The 22,339-nt window shown below is 32.7% G+C and overlaps 1 protein-coding gene across 1 annotated transcript in view, besides 1 other annotated feature; it reads left to right on the top strand.

The window, feature by feature from the left end:
• The window catches only part of PCDH15 (protocadherin related 15), a 1,825,172-nt gene that overhangs the window by 190,553 nt on the left and 1,612,280 nt on the right, over positions 1 to 22,339 (top strand). The gene's annotated exons all lie outside the window — the stretch shown is intronic.
• Positions 13,764 to 13,933: an enhancer, noted in NCBI's record as "experimental_13381 CRE fragment used in MPRA reporter constructs". NCBI's record gives its function as "activates a minimal promoter by MPRAs in K562 erythroleukemia cells, with activity observed for both the introgressed and non-introgressed 10:57183302 variant alleles {active_cell/tissue: K562}" and the evidence as "EXISTENCE:reporter gene assay evidence [ECO:0000049][PMID:34662402]".

Here is a 22,339-nt window from a genome sequence, read left to right as displayed (position 1 = left end):
TCACTTTAAAATGTTTCACTTAGGTGTGGAGAATAACCTTCTGGGTGTAAGCTGTGGGTATATTTTCAGAGCTTATCCACTTTAAAGGGCCCAAACTCTTTATCTGTGCATGCCCTGCCTGATTCTCTGCTAAGGGGCTGACTCAGCAGCTCTTATTTATTTCTCCAATTAAATTGAGATCCTTTTGTCTCCTGCTTCCTCTGTAAATCTGGATAAGAGTGATGGTATTTGATTTTCCTGTTGATGTGTGTAGCTTCTAAAAGGAAGATGGAGAGATTCAAATTGTATGACCATCATTATAGTCATCGCTTTTATATTATGTGAAACCAAGACTAGGACAAAATCACATGTGGAAATCACCCACAAATATGGGAACAAAATGACTCTTCTGAGGTAAAATTGGATGTGTAAAATATCTACAGAATTCAGAAATTAAGATGTGACAGAAATCAACGAGAACATTTTTAACAGAAGATAACCCTTTATGAAGTTTTGTTGTAATGGTGGCAAAATTATTTTTTTCTGAATGATACAACGGAATTTTTCAAGCACAGTAAATGCTCCCACTTATAACCACCTATCTTCATAGTTACCAATTACAAAATATACCTAACTGAAAAGAAATTTCAGTTTTTAAATACATTGCACTTTCATTAAGTGCTTAATAAATACATTCTCTTTACGCAAATTTGCAGAGACAATTAATATCGGTAGATTTATTTTCTTGTATAAACTTATAACTCAATAGGATGGAGTCTTTGTGAACTGAACTTGAACTTCTCGATGGTAGTTAGGATCTCCTAGGATAATTTCATTCCATTTTCCTAAATAATCAGTAAGGAATTCTCTGGAAACAAACTAAAGCCCAAGAGAAAACAAAATTAAACAAAACAAAAGCCAAAAATAAACCTACATCCTATTAAACAGTATTTATACAAGATATAAATAACTTATATGTCATAATGTTTAAAATGTTTATAATACAGCATTGAAATTCCTGTTTCATTAAAACTGAAAAATTATTTAAATGTTTTAATCAAAACAATTTTGTCTCAGAATTTTAAAGGCACTGATATGTTTCTGTATGTTTATTCTTGTATTTATCTTTTCTAATTTATGTTTTAATATTTCACTAAAGCAATCTTAAGGAATTGGAAATCCAGGGCCTTCTAAATAAAGTATTTATGTTTGATTTGCAAGGCTCAGTCCTCCCTTTACAACAGTAATATCAAACTCCTTAACTAGGTTGGATATATGTTAATCACTTTAATTAATTTCCATAATTAAGAATTTTCAGCATAGGGTTAAAGAGATCAGATACTACTACTGTGAATAAAATAAACACATATATAAGTAAGTAAACAAAATTAAAAAATGACGAACTTTTATTTGTGACTATGGAATGTTATTTTAGAGTATCAACACATTGGATATAACTTGATTAATAAAAGTTGACATGGAAACTACTTTTGCCATGCACTCAACTCTTATATCATGTGGGAAAATCATTTCTCTATTACAAGTAATTAAGCAAAATTATTTTACAGAATTAAAAATTCTGTTAATGTGTCTTTATTATTGTAAATATATGTAACTTCTCTGCCAATGTACTATCTATGGCTTTTTACGACAGTTATAAATCCCAAGTTCTATAAATTTTGTTTTCATTTCTCATATTTTTTCTCTGTTTCTCCCTGTCTCATTGTAAGTTACCCTGGTTTTCCACTTTTTTTCCCATCTTTTATATTTTCCACTCTTAATTTTTAAAAATTTAATTGAGGCAATACTTTGCAGAGCAGGAGGATGGGAGTTAAACAATGAATCTCAGTTTCCCTGATCTGTGTTTTGTGGATTAGGGAAAAAAGGAAGAGGAAGTTAGATGAAATCTTGGTTATTATTACAAATGTTAACAGCAGAGTTGTTAGCTGATGGCCAGCTGCTACCAAATGTTCTCACTAATTTGTTTTTAAATTATTTAATTAACTATTTGCTAATTTTAAAAGTAACAATACATTATCAAAAATGCGAGGTAAAAATACTGTGGTATATTAAAAATAATAGTTAATATTCTCTTCTTCCCCAATTATCTTGTAATGCCACACCCTCCAGGTAACCAGTGTGGGTTGTTTGTATCAATACCTTCGTACCTTTAAGCTTATACCAAATAGGTATATATCTATGTAGTATCTATATTTATGAAAGCCTTGCACCTTATTTTTCTTTACCCCACAAAAGCATTATTCTTTACTTACTATTTTTTTCTGATTTAGTTCACTTAAATTCCTTTTGATTTCTTAAATCACACATTTCCATCTTCTTTCCCTGACTAAAACTTTGCCTCAGCCAATCTTTCCCTCATTATAATTTACCAACTGTAAGCATTTATATTCTTCAAGTACATGACTATTCATGTTTTCATAAAATAAGTAAATCTTAAAATTAGATTTTTGACTATTAGAAGTTTTGAGTTTAAATATTATAACATCAGGCTGGGTGTGGTGGCTCACGCCTGTAACCTAGCTCTCTGGGAGGCCAAGGTCGGTGGATCACAAGGTCTGGAGTTCAAGACCAGCCTGGCCAATATGGTGAAACCCTGTCTCTACTAAAAATACAAAAATTAGCCGGGTGTGGTGGTGGGCACCTGTAATCCCAGCTACTTGGGAGGCTGAGGCAGGAGAATCACTTGAACTCGGGAGGCAGAGGTTGCAGTGAGCCAAGATCATGCCACTGCACTCCAGCCTGGGCAACAGAGCAAGACTCTGTCTCAAAAAAAAAAAATTAATGTCATGACTTTGTAATTGAATAATTAAATATGCTTTTGAAACATGTTAATGAAGAGCTAGATATTTTGTGTCTGTGGATAAGTAAATCTGACATCAATATGTTAAACATCTCTATTTTAACCCATAATTTGACATTTTAATAAAAAACCATACCAATAATAATTGGGAAATTATGAAACTCATTTCAATATAAATATGGAGATATAATTAGCCAAGAACAAAAGCAATAGCGTTTGAAAAAGCGGAGAATTGGCCGGGCGTGGTGGCTCACGCCTGTAATCCCAGCACTTTGGGAGGCCAAGGAGGGCGGATCACGAGGTCAGGAGATCGAGACCAGTGAAACCCCGTCTCTACTAAAAATACAAAAAAAAATTAGCTGGGCGTGGCGGCAGGCGCCTGTAGGGAGGCTGAGGCAGGAGAATGGCGTGAACCCGGGAGGCGGAGCTTGCAGTGAGCCTAGAGGGCGCCACTGCACTCCAGCCTGGGCGACAGAGAGAGACACCATCTCAAAAAAAAAAAAAAAAAAAAAGAAAAGAAAAGAAAAAGCGGAGAATTTGTTTTCCTTATGTTATGATTTATCAAACTTCAGTAAATAATGCTTTGAATATGTTAAATATAGAAAAAGAGCATTAGAAAAGATTATGGAGCCCAGAAATAAACCACACATATATGAGGACTTCATATACAACAGATAGGGCACTACTTCTCAACAGGAGAAAAAAGGATTGATCAATAAACAGTGCAGTGACAGGGGTTGTACATATGAGCAAAATAAACAAGTATCCCTGCCTTACACCAGGCACGAAGATACATCCCAAGTGAATTGAAATCATAGAAATAATAATATAAATATTTACAAGAACGTTTAGGGAAATGCAATTATGTTATTGGGGAAGAAGAGGATATAAAAATTATAAATCATAAAAATGAATGATACATTGGATTATATTAAAATTAAAAATGTTTGTTAATCAAAAGATTACACAAAACAGAAAATGTCTCTTTTAGTTATTTATTTTTATTTTTTAACTTTTATTTTAGGTTCAGGGATATATGGGCTGGTTTGTTATATAGCTAAATTGCATGTCATCGGGATTTGGTGTTCAGATTATTTTGTCACCCAGGTAATAAGCATAGTACCCAATAGGTAGTTTTTTGATGCTCTCCCTCCTCTCATGCTCTGCCCTTAAGTGGGCCATGGTCGCTGTTGTTACTTTCTTTGTGTCCATGTGTATTCAATGTTTAGCTACCACTTACGAGTGAAAACATGCAGTCTTTGGTTATGGCCTCCAGCTCCATCCATGTTGCCTGCAAAGGACATGTTCTTCTTCTTTATTACGATTGTGTAGTATTCAATGGGGTATACATACCACCTTTTCTTTATCAAATCTACCATTAATGGGCATTTAGGTTGATTCCTTGATTTTGCTATTGTGAATAGTACTGCAATGAATATATGTATGCATGTGTCTTTATGGTAGACCAACTTATATTCATTTGGGTATATAGAGAATAATGAAATTGCTGGGTCGAATGCTACTTCTGTTTTTGTTTTGTTTTGTTTTGTTTTGTTTTGTTTTTTTGAGACGGAGTCTTGCTCTGTCACTCAGGCTGGAGTGCAGTGGCGCGATCTTGGCTCACTGCAAACTCTACCTCCAGGGTTCAGGCCATTCTCCCGCCTCAGCCTCCCAGCTACTTCTCACGCCTGTAATCCCAGCGCTTTGGGAGGCCGAGGCGGGCGGATCACGAGGTCAGGAGATCGAGAGCATCCTGGCTAACACGGTTAAACGCCATCTCTACTAAAAATAAAATATATATATATATATATATTAGCCGGGCGTTGTGGCAGGCACCTGTATTTCCAGCTACTTCTGTTTTAAGTTCTTCAAGTAATCGCCACATGGCTTTACACAATGATGAAACTAATTTACATTTCTGCCAGCAGTGTATAAGCAAAATGGTATGTTTTATATCAGATATCTAATGTACCAGAAAAAACTCTGAAATGTCTCTTCATATTATACCCAGAATCAATCTAATTTTTATCCCTACCACTTGGTCCCAAGTCACTATTGTTCTCTTACCTGGATATTTGTAATAGTCTCCAAACAGGTCTCCAACTTTTCATCCTTGCCTTCCAATAACCCATTTTCAACAGCTACCAAAGTGGTTTCTTGAAGTGTGAATTGGAAAATATCAATCCTCCACTCAGAACCCTGCAATGCCTTCCATAGCACTCAGAATAAAATCAAAATCTATTAAAACATCATTTCTATATTGTCTACCCCAATTTATCTATGACTTCATATCTCAGCCACACCAGCCTCATTTTTCAAACACAGATTGTTCTGATTTAGATCTTTGAACATTTATCTGTAATTCTGTTTTGCAAAATATCCATATGCCTTGTCCTTTACTTTCTTCCAATTCCTGCTGAAATATTAACTGATCAATGAAGTCATTGAAGGAGCATATAATTGGAGAGACTTGTGGTGTGTGTGTGTGTGTGTGTGTGTGTGTGTGTTTAAATGATAGCTCTGCCTATCCCAATTACTCTTGCTTTCTTTATTTTTTTATAGTACTTCTCACAATCTGACATAACATATGTGCATGAAAATGTTTACAGTATTATTTACTACAATCTCCCTAGAGCTTAGATAAGCGTTTGTTGGGAGCAATATATATAAGAATAACAACCTTCACACATAGAATAATGGTTACCCACAAGATAAAGAGGAGGGAAATGGAATCATAGAGATTTGTGTAAGAGGCTTTACTAATCTATATGGGCTATTTTTAATGGGGATGACATTTGGGTTTCAAATTTATGAGTATTATTGTCATTCCTTTTTGGATACATGAAATATTCCATTAAAAGTAACATAGAATTTTGGAAAACACATGAACGGCTTACTCATTTAGTGTGTTTTAGTTAGTGGGACAATGCAATAACAAGAAAATTTGTCTTAAGAGATTTGCTTGGAGTATGCACATTCCACATAGATTGCTATTTTGAAAATACTTAGATTTAACAGTTTTAGAATTTCAAATTAATTTTAATTCCAGTGATATCATATATCCAATTAGCTAAAGTTTTTAAGTTTTTGTAAGTCCTAATTACTAGCTTTATGACCTGGATTTTTTCCTTCAGAGCTCACAGATGTAATTTTTAAGAAACACAAGTAGCATAAATTAGCAACACTCTGGAAGCGAGAGATGGAGCCTTAGTCGTGACAAGATTTTATGTAGGCAGGAAACAAGCTATGCAGTTTCATTGTGATTGCAATTCCATACATTAAAACAAAAACAAATTAAAGGCAACAGTGAGAAGATTTCATTTCATTCAAGAAGATAGTGAATAATCTGGTCAACACATATTTCAACAAAAATTCATCATTTTAATTTTTGATTTACTTAAAGCTGTTGTGTATATACTTTTTTGTATTGAATCCATTTTGAATTGAAATTTAAATATTACTCAAAATCCTAGAATTCTCACCAAATTGACTCTTTGAACCTAACCCAGGTTATTCATGATTTTTTAAAAGAGGAGATAATGATTTAATACTTTACTGAATCATCTTTCTAAATCATGTCAAGGAAATAAATTCCAGCCAGTGATGCCTAATCCTGAGGTAGAAATTAGAGTTAATCTTGATGTGGAGTCTTGCATATTCAAAAGTTTGTAGTAATAACATTTTGATCTCTGTTTTCTCAACATTTCATTTTTTCTATACATAAACTGGGTAGTCGTGAATTCCTAATATAATTATTAACTAAAGCCAGTTTAGCAAGCATTTGATTTATTGGCAGGCATTGGCTTACTGTTTCAAACTAAAATGGCAGTTTTAATTAACTTTTTGACTTAGGTATGCAGAATATTAATTCTAAGTATCTTAATATTCTTTGTGTTTCTTATGCCATTTTTTATTTTATTTAGTAATCTTTTCTTCACTGGGAACACTTTATTTTCTAAAAAGAACTAAAGGAATAAAATAACTGGCCTTCGTGGGTAAAAACAGAAAATCACTTCTTCTCTGGGCCAAAAATCTTGCTTCCAGGGTGAATAAAATTAAATTATCATTAGGAACTTACTAATCTCCATGGTGAATGCACTTAGCTAAACAACAATGAGGTTCAAGCCAAAATTCTACTGAATATTACATGTCAAAATATATCAAAACATAAATGATTAAACCTTTGCTTGATTCAGAGACAATGTAAGCCAGATTCATTTGGCTATTTACCTATCCAGATATTTCTTATTTCCTTTTTCTTCCCCCATTCCTCTCACTTTCAACTATTTATTTATTTTTGAGTCAGAGTCTTGTTCCATCAGCCAGGCTGGAGTGCAGTGGCACAATCTCAGCTAACTGCAGCCTCAACCTCCAGGGCTCAAGTCATCCTCCCACATGTGCCTCCTGAGTAGCTAGGACTATAGGTACGTGCCACCATGCCTGGCTAACTTTCTTTATTTTTTGTAGAGATAAGGTATCACTATGTTGCCCAGGCTTTTCTATCTACTTATTTATGTATTTATGTACTAACCTATATTACATACCTATAACAAATTCTTGGTGAATCTTGATTTCATTTAAAAGTATGCCAAGAAATTAAATGTTATAGTTAAATAAAAAATAAACGATTACAAATTATTCATCATAGAAAAGGTTGATTTGGGGAATTAAAACTATATATTATTAAGGAGCACAAAGCTAAAGATTAAATGTAAACAGAAAACTTACACTGTTGTGTAAATGTAAAATAATTTATTATAAATGATTACTTATTAAAAATAATTACATGATATTCCTGCACCTAAAAGTGTTAACAGTCCAAGTTCCTAATGTTTCATATTAAACTGTAGCTAGACTAGATTGTTACTGATTAACACATAAATATCATAAGTAAAATGCTTCTAAGATTTGAGGAGGCAGAGAATGTTTGTTTCTTCTGATCAGTAAAAGGCAAATTCCCTTCAAAGCAAGTGAGTGTCCTATTTAGCCATATTGCAGTACATCAAAAATTATAAACATAACTTCTGTTCATGATATGAAAATAATTTAATTCCTCAAAACCAGTGTAAAGATAAAAATCTTATAAGCATCAGCAGAACAAAAAAGACACATTTTGTAGAGATATATAACATAAGCATGACAGCAGAGTTCTCATCAGAAACAGTGAAAGAGGAAAAAAGCAGACCAATGGCTTTAAAGTATCAAAAGGGAGGTAAAGCCTAAACCTGTATTACTAGTGTCCTATCATTAGCAAAAATATCTTTCAAAAACAAAGTGGAACAATGACGTTTTAGACCTATAAATATGAAATAGTTAATAACCAGCAAATCCATCTTATAAGAAGTGCTTAAAATTTCCTTTGTGCAAAACAAGTTAGCAGATAGTAATATAAATCTATTCAAAGGAAAAAAAATACCACTAGAAATGGTTACTACATGGGTAAATATGTCAGATTTTTCACATTATAAAAATGCCTTTAAAGGATAATTGCCTGTTTGTAACAGTAATAACAATATAACATGGGGTTTGTAGAATGTGTGGAAGTCAAATATGTGATGATAATTGCACAAAGCCTGGAGAGGAGAAAATAAAGAATGCTACGGTAAGTTCTCACATTCATTGTAAAGTGGTAGAATGTCACATTAATTTAAACTGAGGTAGGTAATAATGTACACTCTAGATCAATAAATTATCATAAAATGGAAAAATAATGGGAAAAACGGATATTAATGAAAAAATAAGCCAATAAAGGAAATAAAATATAATACAAAAAATGTAATTCATGAGAGTGCACAAAATGTATAAAACAATAACAAAAATATTTTAATAGGAAACAAATAACAATACAGACTTAAACCTATTAATAATCATGCTAAATTTAAATGACCTAGTTATACCAATTAAAAGACAAAATTTATCAGATTGAATAAAAAAGTAAGCCCTAAAATATGTTATCAAAAAACTGCTTTAAAGATGAACACATAGCGCTGTCTCTCTGAGATAGATAGATAGATAGATAGATAATTATAGATATAGAGAAAGAATTTATATATACATATGTATGTATCTATAATGCAGTATATATTGCATTAACACAAATAAAAAGAAAGCTGTAGTCAATTTAAGAGCAAAAATACAGGTAGAGTAGATTTCAGAACCAATTCTGTTACAAAAATGAAGATCATTTCATAATGATAGAGAACTCAATTCATCTAGTACAATAAGTGTCCTGAATTTTTTATCCATACTGACAGAGATGCAAAATGATAACTGATAGATATTACAGAAGAAATAGATAAATACACAATTATATTCTTAAATTTCAATGATAATTTCACAGTAATTGATGGGATAGGTAGATGACAAATTATTAAGGATAAAGAATGCTTTAACAACACATTAATATATTTGACCTAATTGATTAGGTCAAACACTAATTGATTAGGTCAAACACTTCATTCTACAGGACTCAAAGACACATTATCTCTGAATGTTTGTAGAAATAAGCTAAAATAGACCACATTTTAAGACATAAATCAAGTATCAAAAAACGTAAAATAATTGAAGTCATATGAAGTATGTAGTCTCTCTGTTCAAAATTAGATATTTTTCCCATAGAAATTATGGATGCTGGCCCAAATAACTCGTTTTTCTTTAAATAGATCATAACCTTATACATTTTTCCCCAAAATTGTATTCTTTAAAATGCTATTTGGAGATACTAGAAGATCCTAGTTGAGAGTTAAATCAATAAAACTGTGAAATGGATATTTAAATATGATATTTAATAATTTACTTTTTATTAATTTAGAATAGACAGCCAGTACAGATTATACATGAATTTGGACAGAATAAGATTATAGAGGTATAAATCTAAAGTATTAAAATGGCAAACTAAACATTTAGCAATGGATTTTTTAAATCAAGTATATGAACCCATTTGTAAACACATTTTCCACCACTCCAAGATGCATTCGATCATGTGCAAACTAGTACACAAAAATATTTCCCTTTTCTTAACCTGAGTTGAACTTTGTAGGTATTTTATATGCTGCTCTTCGTTAGTGTCATTTTGTCTGCATTCAGTGTTCAAGTTTCTTCAACTAGGCTATTAGCCCTTGAATGGAGGGAATCCTCATGCCTGAAATTCTTTTGTGTTTTTCAGAGTCCAATACTATATCTTAATGTAATAGATATATCATGCAAACTAAGTACTCAATACATTTAGTATTTTAGCACTTGACACCCTTATAACATTGTGTTCTTTGTATCCAACATGTTCACATTAGTATGGTAGTGTTGCAGGTACCTTAGGTTACTTTGGTTGAGAGTCTTATAAACTATTTAAAAATGCATATTGTAATATTAGGGGAAAAGCATGGTCCAGATTTTACACATCTACGGATTATAACTTTAAATAAGCTGAGCTTGATTGTAGTGATAGGGACAGGAGGCAGGGAGATTCTGGGAAGATGAGGGCAGGTCTCTGGCGAGGGCCCACCCTCAATCCGAAAAATATGAAGCTGTGGCCCAAAGTGAGAACTTACATCCCTGTTTTCCTGTTTGAATGTTCCCTTTTCCAAAAAAAAAATCCATGGCCTGATGTACCCACCATCCTGTGCCCATAAAAACCCCAAGCTCAGCCATCATAGAGAAGAGAAGCAGGTGGGTGTAGGAGACTGTGGTTGGATGACATTGGAGAGAAGTGGCTTGACTTCAGAGGGAGAGCTTGATGGCATAACTTCGGAGAAGAAATTGGCCAGAGGTGGCCGGACTTCAGGGGAAGATTAGCTTCCCACACTATCTCCTTTTCAGGTCCCTTTCCATTGGCAAGAAAATCATCCGCATTTACCATCCTTCAATTCATTCATGAGACCTCATTTCTCCTAGGACATTGGACAAGAGCTTGGATACCACCAAGCGAAAGACTGTCATACTGACCCTTTGCCCTCGCTGTTGGAAGGCAGCCACCTCACATGAAAAGGCAGAGGGTCCACTGAGTTGTTAACCCTTCCACCATCCATGGACGGCCGAGCTAAAGAGCACTGTAACACTCCCTCTGGGGCTACCGGGTTTGCGGGCACCCCCACAGATGCTGCTGCAGGGCTGGCACATAGTTAACTCCTGCCAGCACCCAAAGATTCTGCCTGCTCCTGTACCTGCTCACCTGAGTGACCCCTTCCATGAGGGGTGGATGCAGGGGGTCCAACTGAGTGCAGTTCACCCCTGCCGGCACCAGAGCAGCCAGATGGCTCAAACGCTGGTGTACTCCTGTTCACGCCTCACTGGCTCAGGCACTCCCTCCTGCGAGGAGTTGAGAGCTGTGGGCTGAGTAAACCCGGCACTACCTTCACGAGTCCCACCAAGAGGTCAGGGGAATATCCTGCTTCGTTAAGTCCTGAAACTAAGTATAAACATGTACTTCAAAAATTTTTACATAATGCATTTAATTATAGCTTTTGAAGTAGTTCTTATTCCCCTTCATGTCACGATTACCTACTTTAAAAACTTTACCATAGTGTTATACTTCTTGAAAAAGTGAATTGTTCTTACCATGTGTAGGTTTATTAGAATTTTTCCAAGTCATTTTAAAACAAATAAGTATTTTGCTATGACTATACCATTTTATTTATTTCACATATATGCACATATAATTAATCTTTCAGTTAGTAAGAGCAAATATAGAAACGTTTTACAATTTGAAATTTTAATTTAAGAAAATACACTCATTTTGTGTCATAAGTTTGACATTTGTCATAACAAAATACACTCATTTGTGTCATAAATTTGACATTTCACAGCATATATTAATAGCTTATAAGACAAACATTCAATCAGATCCTTTGAAAAAGTTTTAGAATAAAAGCCACTGCTGATTCAGATATCAGAAGTTTTAATGAGTAACACTGTTTTTTTTTGTGTGTGTGTGTGTGAAAAGCTAGTAGCGGGTAACTCTTCTCAGACCCACAAGATTTTTTTTAAAACTGAGATAAAGATATTTTACATTAGATTAGCAATAAAATGAAAGAAATACACTTGAGAATTTGTGGAAAATTGTTATATGATTTCTCTAAGGTATGAATACAATATTTTTACATAAATAGTATGTTTTCTGAATATAGCTATTTATATGTGCTATTAATTTTAGAAAGTCTCTAATTATGATAATACATCAACACTTTTGCATTTTTTTCTAGCATCATTATTGCTACATAAAATTTTTGAGCTATTGTAGTTCTTTGTTAGTTTTTTCCATGACTTTTAATTTGGAGAAATTTTCCTATTCTGCAGCATTAGCAAAAGAGATTGTCAATAAAATTTTACAAACAATACTTAGACTGAAAATGAAATATGTATAAAATGATAATGGAGTCACATAATAAATTATAATTAAGTATTATTAAATAGTTTAGTTCTATTATATAATTTAAGAGCATATATAGTGATTACTCTTTGTCTTAAAACAAAATTTAAGTCATTTCAGAATTTCTTAATTTCTAATTTTTTCTACATGGAGATATGAGCTTTTAAAAAGCATCATTTGTTCAATTTAATAATATCCCCTTAATACTTTCTATAATTTGATCTGTTTCTTAAAAGTATTTGCAATTATACAATTCATTTTCCATCTAGTTGCAAACCATTTCATATCTGTAAACGTATAAATAATTATATTTTTTAATATCACACTTTTTTTTAATTGCCACATCAACTGTTGCAATACGATGCCAATTAATGGCTATCTTTGAAAACGTAATTGGAATACAAGCAGAGGCCTAGAAATTGATGTTTGGCACTTCTGGAAAACTATTCCCTCAGAGTGAGAGTTTGGCAAATTAATTAATTTGCCTTTTTTCTTATATAAGCATTTTTTCTCATATAAGATTTTCCAGCTCTTTCCTATACACCAAAGCAGTTCCCAACATAAATACTAGTACAACCCACAGGCATTCATAGAATTGGGCTGAGGTTGTCTTATGTTTTGAAGACATGTAGCAAATGAGAAAAGGCAGCATTTGTCTGTAGCCTGGAAAGTGTTCATTAGCAGGGTAGATGCCTACAATTAGATGAGGCATTGTTACCTAATTGCGAGCCAGAAAAGATGCCCTGGGGCTATTTAGTTAATTAATATTTGCAATATGTGAGACCTTTCATAGTGTAAGACCAGGACAGAAGCAGCCTTTCTCAGGTCTAAGGGCACTACTAGCCATTTGCCAACATCCAACTTTTAATTTTGATTGTGTAAGAAAGATAAGCCAAGTAGGGTCTCATGATACCCCCTGACATCACCAGGGCACACACTACAATGCCTCAAATCCAGCACAAAGAATAATTAGTTCTATCCCAACCACACCAATAGCAATTATGGGATGTAGATCCCAAAATAATTGTGTGTATCTTGAAACGGGACATTCATTTGCCACTTTTAGAGTTCCTTTTTGGAGAAGGAATAACTATCATCTTCTCATACATTTTCTTGTGGAGTTTGACATCTTGTCATACATAACATCTTTCACTTAGCCTCATGCAAAAATAGATCTGGACAAAATAGTTTGAGATATTAGACCTTCTGCTTGTGTGTGTCTTCCTCAATTTCTGGTAGTCAACACATCAGAATTATTACTGTGGATTCTAAAGCCCTTTTAAAACTGAAAACAAAGTGTAAACTGATGCTGCTTATACCCTCTTAAAGCTTTTCCTTTTATATTTAAAAACTTACATTTTAAAAATGAAGATAATTTTGTCCTTATGACATGTAAGCATTTAAGTTATTGGAATATAAAAACATGAGGTTTGATAAGTATCTTGCTTAATTAAAATCTTATTATCTGTCCTGCTATGTCTGCCCCTGCTGCACATCAAGGTATGTTGCGTATTTAGATTTTTCACAGATCAGAAAATTTCCATCCTCTGTAGTCTAGTAGGTGGTAAGGCTTCCAGCCTTGAATGGGCCTTCCATCAACAAGCTCCTATATAGAAAGCAGTTAGTATTCCTTGCTCTAAACAGAGGAGTTTCCCCCCTTTTACCTTATAGTGAGCTAATTAGCTCTGGAAATAGTGTGCTTTCTTAGTGTGACTATAGGCATATATGTGCACATGTATGTTTTTTTGGTTTTCCTCAACCATTTGTTTCATTCTAGCCCTGCAAAATTTATATGTATATAGTACATATAGGCATCTTAGATGTTGACATGTTAGCTTATCGTTTTATTAATGTGTCAAAATTTTAGTTCTCTCTGTATGCATACAACTATATCTGATACCCTACAGTGCATCCTACTTCGAGGAATTCTGTTGCCTTTTCTTTATTCATCCTTCCCTTTACATTTTAAACAAGTAAATCATTTAAAGTGTGTTAATTTTATCTATTGTTCACCCTTAGCCCCCAGAGAAGCATAACAAATAAAGCAAAACTTTTTTAATCATTAAATAATTTACAGATTTATGATAATTTTTACTGTGACCCTTTAGGAAACAATGTATCTTCTTTTAGGGATCACATTTATGAGTAAGTCCAGGTTGCTGCTGGGTATAAATAAGATACATGATAACTTCTATAGTCCTTATTTTTAGTAATTTATGTACATTGTACTCTAAATTATACTGGACATACTTTATGTGGAGTAAGGGGTCTCTTGACAAGTGTATCAGCAATATGTTATTATTTTCCCTTTGTTGATTTATAGTGATAGGCAAAATTATGAACTATGTGACATTAGTTTTATTTCCTTTGGCATTCTTTCTTATCTATAAAATAAACTTATTAATGTCTACCTTTTATAGGTATTGGAACACATTATATGCTGAATTCAATTCTCTGTCTTCCTCATTCCTTATTGCCTTCTTCTTCCCATGCCGAGCACAACATACCATTGGATTATTTTAATATACTCTGCCTTCTTGTTCCTAACAAAACCTGAACTCAATAAGCTGCTATGTTGGAAAAGATCTTTCGATTTCTTTCACAGTCTAAACTGCTAATAACAACTTAAAATAGAGTGTTATTTTTAATTCTAAATTAGTTATGAGACATGTTCTGCAGGTTAGAGGAAGGTCATTACATTTAACCTACAATTTATATCCCAGAGGAGACTACTTGCCTACTTTGTCATCCTTGGCTAAAATGTTCCATATGACATACCATATAGGTAAAACCATGCTTTTGTTGATCAATGAATGGTTTAACATTATTGGAATGTATAGGAATCATATTTGATGGTTTCTCATGCACAACTCAAAATATGGTGCCTTTTCCTCTTCATTTTATAAGGATTCTATATAGTTCTGTTTTGTTAAATTTTCTGCTGACTATTCTTTAAGGTATCTTTGAATAATTTCAGTTAGAAGGCATTTCTTATCAAATGAATATCTACTTTATAGGCTATAATCTGAAAACGTCCAGAAAATAGGCAAATCTGTAGAAACAGTTTTTAGATTGGTGGTTGTTATGGGCTGTGGGTAGCGGTGAATAGAGAGTGACTGTTAATGTGTATGGAGTTGTTTTTGGAGTAATGCATATTGTCTAAAAGTTGACAATGCTGAAGGTTGGGCTAAATATACTCAAAGCCACTTAATTACATACTTTAAAAGGAAATTTTATGAAAAATGAATCATATCTCGATAAAGGCATTATAAAATCTGCTATAAATATGCTAATTGACTGGGCTAATAGAAATACCATTTTTATCTTGTTGTCAACTGTGCATATAGGAAGAAAATCTACAAAATAGATAAATCCCAAGTAATAATTTTGTGTGATAATAAAAACAATAAAATATTCTGAAGTGAAATGTTTAGAATATTTGTCAGAAAATATGATTCACAACAAAAGAACCACATAAGCAGGTTATCTACCAAATCATCTCTAGTAAATATCAAACAGATGCTTCTTTTTAAACTTCTTAGAATGATGAAAGTATTAATTAATTTGGAATATGTTAATAAAATGATGTTCATTAACATATCAGTTTCTCTAGCAGTGAGTCACAGAAGATCATTTTAGTCTCCTGATAAAATTCCATATTTAATATTTGAATTCCAGATATGTTATTAGTAGAAGATAGATTCAAATCTAGTATGCTATATGAAATGATTTTCTCTTTTAGCTATGATGTAAATTTATCATATTATGAAAATCATATGTAATATATATAAATTTATATACAAATATATATGAATAAATATATTAAAATTTACGCAAATAATTTTAACAATTTTTCTACTTTTGTTAAAAATAAAATATTATTTATAAATATTTCAGGTTATCTCATTTAAAAAATTTATTAGATATCCAATTTTAAATTGATTTAATTTTTTTAATTCTTAATGTAAATCTTATGGTCTTATCTTCTTGCCTCGACTTATCTGAGTTTTATCTTAAAAGGTTCTGTGAGTAATCATCTTGCCTTTAAAACATCCTACTGAATGCTTTCTGACTTCTTTTTGGCAGCATCTTATATATTTTGACTTCATATGTTTAGATCAGTTGGGTTTAGACCCCCTTCCTCTTTGCAACTATCTTAGGCCAGTCTTAGAATTTCCTTCATTCTGTAATTCATTTTTAGCTCAAAAACTTTGTCTATTTACCATAAATAGTTTCTAGCCTATTATATTTTTACACAAACAGTCTTTTGTCCTGTTTGTTAATTTTAAGTAATTTTAAAGCAGATAATCATTTAATTTATCTTCTTGATGCTTTTTCTTCTGGGCTTTCATTTTTCTACGTGGTAAGTTCCTTGGTTATTATTCCTAGGAATTAGCCCCATGCTTGACATATAGTAAATACTGATTTGTAGTTGATCATTAGGTCGAATTTGGTGTAATATTTTTCACATGGGCCTCTTCTCTTAAGCCATTGTTACATTTGATACATTTTATTGAATAAAAGTTAAGACAAAAGATAACATGTAAAATATAGGTAAAATATAATTAATTTTTATGTTAATCGGTGGACCTTTGGGTTATATTTCCTGTTCCCCATGCTCCAGTCTAAGACAGCTAAAAACAAAATAAGACAAAGCAAAATAGCAAAGTGATTCCTTGGGATTTCTCTGCGTGTCATCCCCCTCCTAAATGCAGACAAGGCAACTATATGTCAGGTACTACTCTGAAGATGAAGGGAAAAAAAATGCAATACCTACTGATCCTGTCAACATAACCCTAAATTCAGCTTACTGAGAGTTCTCATTCTTGCCAACCTCCTAGGGAAGGGGTCTGCAAACTCTTCTGTAAAATGTCAGAGAGTAAGTACATTAAGCTTTGCAGGCCATATGAGCTTTACCATATGAGCTTTACCAGCTACTCAATTCCAACGCTTATAGTATCGAAGCAACTATAGATAATATGTAACAAATGGAAATGTCTGCTCTCCAGTAAAACTTTATTGACACACAAATTTTAATTTCATTTAATTGTCACATGTAATTAAATATTCTTTTGAAGGAAATGAAAATGCATACGCTAACGTTTTTGTCTTATGAGGAGTATAAGCAATATGTGGGATGGATGCAAGCCCAGTTTAGATCAGTCAACCCTCATCTACCCAGCGGATTTTCGAGTTAAATAAATGTTTAACAATATTACTAAATGTTTGCTGAACTTATTAAATGCAAATTAATTTTCGCTAATGAGCCATGCAAAAACTGGAGGGGGCCAGATTTGTTTTGACCTCCGTTTTAAGATTGAAGCATGTTTCATCTCCTAATTTGTCTTTTACTATCTGTTCATATTTTTTTGCACTTTTCCCCCAATAAAATGCACTATAGTATACATTTTAATCTTTGCAGACCAATGTGATCATGTTGCCAAGTAGTCAACTCCAACACTTGTAGCCCTAAAGCAACTATAGATAATATGAAAGAAATGGGTATGTGCTATAGTAGTGTGTACAGATAGTTCTAGAAAAAAATCTAAAGAAAAAATCATTTCTGTTGGCACCAGAGTTTCAAAAGTCTCATTTTAAATGAACGTGACTTTGGGTCTTTAAACCACTATTGTGAGAATATCTTCACTCCTTTTTCCTGTCTTACAGCCATGGATAACTGCTACTATCTGATTAGTGCAATTCTTTCTCCATTGAGTCAGTAACTATTAACATTGACTTGTGGAAAGAAATACAAACAATCTCTCCTCAGATGTTTCTCTTTCACTGCTGTTACAGTTCACATCACCTAGTATTGCTGTTTAATAGATGGTTTCATGGGATACCTTATTGTGTGGAGTTTTGTAATGCTGGAAGATCTATGGACACCTGCTTACTTACTGTCATCAAAATCCGTGCAATCTACAACTAAGCATGGTATTATCCCACATAGAAAATTTATTTGTTGTCCTAGGAGCAAATTTCATTATTGGTCCTTCAACAGTTTCTACTTCAGCTCCGTCAAACTGGCCTCCCTCCCCATTTCGCTTTCTACCTTAGCCATCTCACATTTGTTCACATGCCTTACAGCTGTATTGTCTGCCATCTCATTATCATAGGAAGTTTATTATGCTGGGCTTCAATTTACAAACCCACTTAGAGATATATGAGGTTTCTGCATAAACTTTTCTGTGTTTAAAAAATTGCTATTTTGTCACACTTTTAATTCAACCTTATAAAACAAATATAATACGTAGATATTATAATGTTTTCAAAAGTAGGAATATATAAAAAGAATTCATGAGGAAAACAGCATTCTCCAACTCTTCCTCATCTACAGGGCTAAACTTTATAATAACTTCTGCTTTAATTATTTTAAGGTTTGCCTCCAACATTTCAAAAATACTTATTTAATTTATCAACAATAAGAGAACTTGTCAAATCTCTCCCATGAAAGATAAAAGTCTGATTTTATTATGACTTTCATTTCTTTTTTCTTCTAATATTAAATTCTTATATTGTCATATTTACCTCTTCTTTTGATTATTTCATAACCTTAAATATGAAGTTACAAAATGTCATCCAGAGTTAGAGGCCCATCTTGCCTGTGAGTTCTGTGTGGTCTCCATCATGTGCTAAAAAACAGTTAAATATCTGGTGGGCGGCTGCTTGCAATAGCACCAGTCCAGCATACATTTTCTTACACTCGCTGTTTTCTTTTACTAACTGATATGCCTTAGGCACTGGTGTTTGCAGTTCCTATTTTAGAGTATAATTTTGTCCCTATTTTCCACGTTTTAGACATTATTTTGATCCCACTACGCACATAAGGCAGTATTCCAATTATATGCCATAGAGAATGAGAGTATCAGTGCCCTGACTTTCCTCTCCAACTCCAATTTCCCACAATCAGCAGCACTTTTATTTTCAGAAAAGCTTCATATTTCTAATGTTGTTAACAGTTACATTCTGCACTAAAAATAAAAACAAGACATTCTTTGTTCATAGGTTGGCTATAAATGTTGAAGAGTAGTAAAAAAGTCACTTTCATTATTATGACTATTATTATGATGTTATACCCTTTATTTATTTCTTGACCATGTACTGTTCTATGATTACATTTCCTTTTGTTATGATTTAGATGCTTTGAGTCCAAAGCACTTCAAAGGTAGAATTTTCCTACCTTCAATCCCAAAGAATTATCTTTTCCTACTGGACATTTTTTGCTTAAAAGTTGTTTCTCATTTTAGTTTTCTTTATATATGCACAATGATTAGGTGAATTTTTATTTTTTTTCTTGAGATACTAATTGCATTTTTTTCTGGTTAAGCATAAAATTATTTCTTGTTAAAAACAATAAGATGCATTTAAACATGAAGTACAACTCTAATCCTAAATCTTCTCTTCTTGTTGTGTTCTGGGTGGGTTCTGTTTCCAAAATCCAATCTCACTTGTTTTTTTTTTCCCTTCATTTTGCTGGAATATATCCTCAAGTAAGACTTTAAAAATGGATCCCAGCAAATAAATTTTCTGAGTCCTTGTCTGTTTGAAAATGTATTTATTCTACCCTATATTTTGATATTTCTCTGGCTAAAGAATCCTAGCTTTATGAATAATTTTTATTCCTAAAAACTTTAAGAGCATTTCGTCTTCTATCCCCTACTATGGCTGCTAAAATAAAAGATTTTTTCTTTTATTATGCATTATTTTGTTTTGCCATTTTGTATTATAGAATACACATGAGCAAATACCTCTGTAAAAGGGGAGATAGCAATTATTTGTGCTTTATATTTTACATATTACTTTTCCTTTTTTATAATTTAGATGCTTTTGAGTCCTAAGCACTTCAAAGGTAAAATTTTCCTACCTTCAGTCCCAAAGAATTCTTTCTTCCTTTTGGTTATTCTTTGCTTATAATGTCTTTCTCATTTTAGTTTTATTTATAGCTGCACTATGATTTGGTGAATTTTTATTTTGGGGGCCACAAGATCTCAATCTCTGCTGCTGTAGTTTCAGTGCTAACACAGCGATGGATAATATGTGAAAATTAAAGAGTGGCTATGTGCCAATAAAGCTATTTATGGAGAATGAATTTGAATATGATACAATTTCCAAATGTCACAAATACAGTTTTTTAAATTTTTTTAAACAATTAAAAAATATTCCTAGCTCATTGGCCATACAAAAGCTCAGCATGAGTGCTAGGCTTGACACATACAAAGTCTTTTACTGACACCCTTTTGCTTTTCATATGTCTTTATAGTCCCTGTTAGAAAATTTCACAATGCTGTGTCAACATGTTTCTCCACTGAGCCTCTTTTTATTTATCCAAGAGGGCATTATTAAACTCACAAATTAAGATCTCAGAAAATATAGGAATTTTGTTTGTTCTGTAGTGACATCACGTGACAGACACTAGCTTAGATGTCTATATATGAAATTGTATATCAGAAACTCAAGTAAACTTTTGATTGCTTTCAGCCTCACCTGTCCCTTTAATTCTCTGTGGCCAGGGTTAACTTTAACCCAGCAGCAAAGCCCTCAGAAAAGATCTTGAGTCCCACCTCTACGAGGCCCTCCTGTTAAACTCTGAATTTAGCTTTTCCTGCCAACTTTATCCTTCAAATTGCTCCATATGCTTTTCTTTTTCCTCAAGTTTGATGATTCCCCTGATACCCACCCCTTAGCCCTGAACCCCATTTTCTTCTCTTCACTGTTGTCAATTTATTCATTTTTGTGCTATCATAATTTTATTTTAGGAGGATCCTAGAAGTGATAGATGACATATGTAATTACATAGTCATCCTGAATAAAAATGAAAACACTTTCATTTACATTAGATTCTCTTCCATGAGAATATGATGGATAGCAAGGCTTACTTACAATGGTTATCATTGCTTATTCATCTGAATTGAGGCTAACTATAATAGCTTAAGTTCCGATAACCAGGAGAATGTAGGTATTTTCTTGTTGTTCTGTTTTGTTGGGGTTGTGGAGGATGTTACTAAGGGAAAGAACAAGGATAGAAAATATTGCATAAAACCTATTAATTTTAGTATTTATAATGAAAAACTAGTGAAATTACTTTTTTAGTGTTACTTTTTTGTATATTATATATGTCTTTCTTTGGGAGTCAAGATGTCAAGTTTTTTGTTTGTTTGTTTGTTTGTTTGTTTGCTTGTTTGTTTGTTTTTTTGCCTTAAAAGCTTTTAACAGTGTGGGTTTTCCCAACTGTGAAATGTTGAGCCTGTTTTTGAAACTTGAAATTTGCTATCGACAAAAGCAAATTTGAGAAAAAAAAATATGGCTCTTTATAGATATTGCTAAGACAAACTTTTCATGGAACAACCTCAAAATGTCCTAATAACATTTTTCAGTCAACTCATTAAATTAGCAGATTATTTATGAATGGGTACCTCAGTCTTCCCATTGAGATGTTAAGCCAAAATCCCAAACACAAGTCATTTCTATTTCCTTTAGTCAAGGTAAATATGTACTTTTGAGAGTACATATGAAAACAAGATAATCATGGCCAACTTCCAGCTCCAACATTATGCTTCATGAGGACATTGATTTTATTTCATCCTGGTATCCAAACCCTTAATATGATCTAACTTGAAAATTAGTGATTTACTATAGCTAGTTAATAGATACAATTGGTGACCCTTGTTTAGCATACTTAGAAAAGTGGAAATTTGAGAAATGAGATTATCATAATCAGAAATGGAGAAAGGTGTCCAATTGTAAAACGTCCTTTTATCTCCTCTAGTTTTAAATCTCAGTATTTGGAATGTCAAATACTTTTTCCAATGGATCCTAAAATAGACTATATTGGGCAATTTTCTGTTTATTATATGACCAAGGAAAAAATTAAAAAGGATTATTTTAGCAGTGCTCTGATAGTTTATAAGGCAGTAGACAGTCTGTAGGATTTCTACTCTGAAATATAAAGAACATATTGCAACAAGAAGAGATTCATCTCTGGAATACAAGGTTTATGTAACATACACAAATAAATTAATGTAATACACCACATTAACAGAATGAAAAAACTACATAATCATTTCAATAAGGGCCAAAGAGCATTTGATAAAGTTTCACATCATTTCATAATAAAGTCTCTTGTTAAATTAGGCACAAAAGGAAACTCCCTCACCTTAATAAAGGCCATTTATAAA

Source organism: Homo sapiens, chromosome 10 (assembly GCF_000001405.40).
Source record: "Homo sapiens chromosome 10, GRCh38.p14 Primary Assembly".
In the NCBI taxonomy this organism is placed as follows: domain Eukaryota; kingdom Metazoa; phylum Chordata; class Mammalia; order Primates; family Hominidae; genus Homo; species Homo sapiens.
The sequence above is the reverse complement of the archived record's forward strand: the minus strand, read 5'-3'. Positions and strand labels throughout refer to the sequence as shown.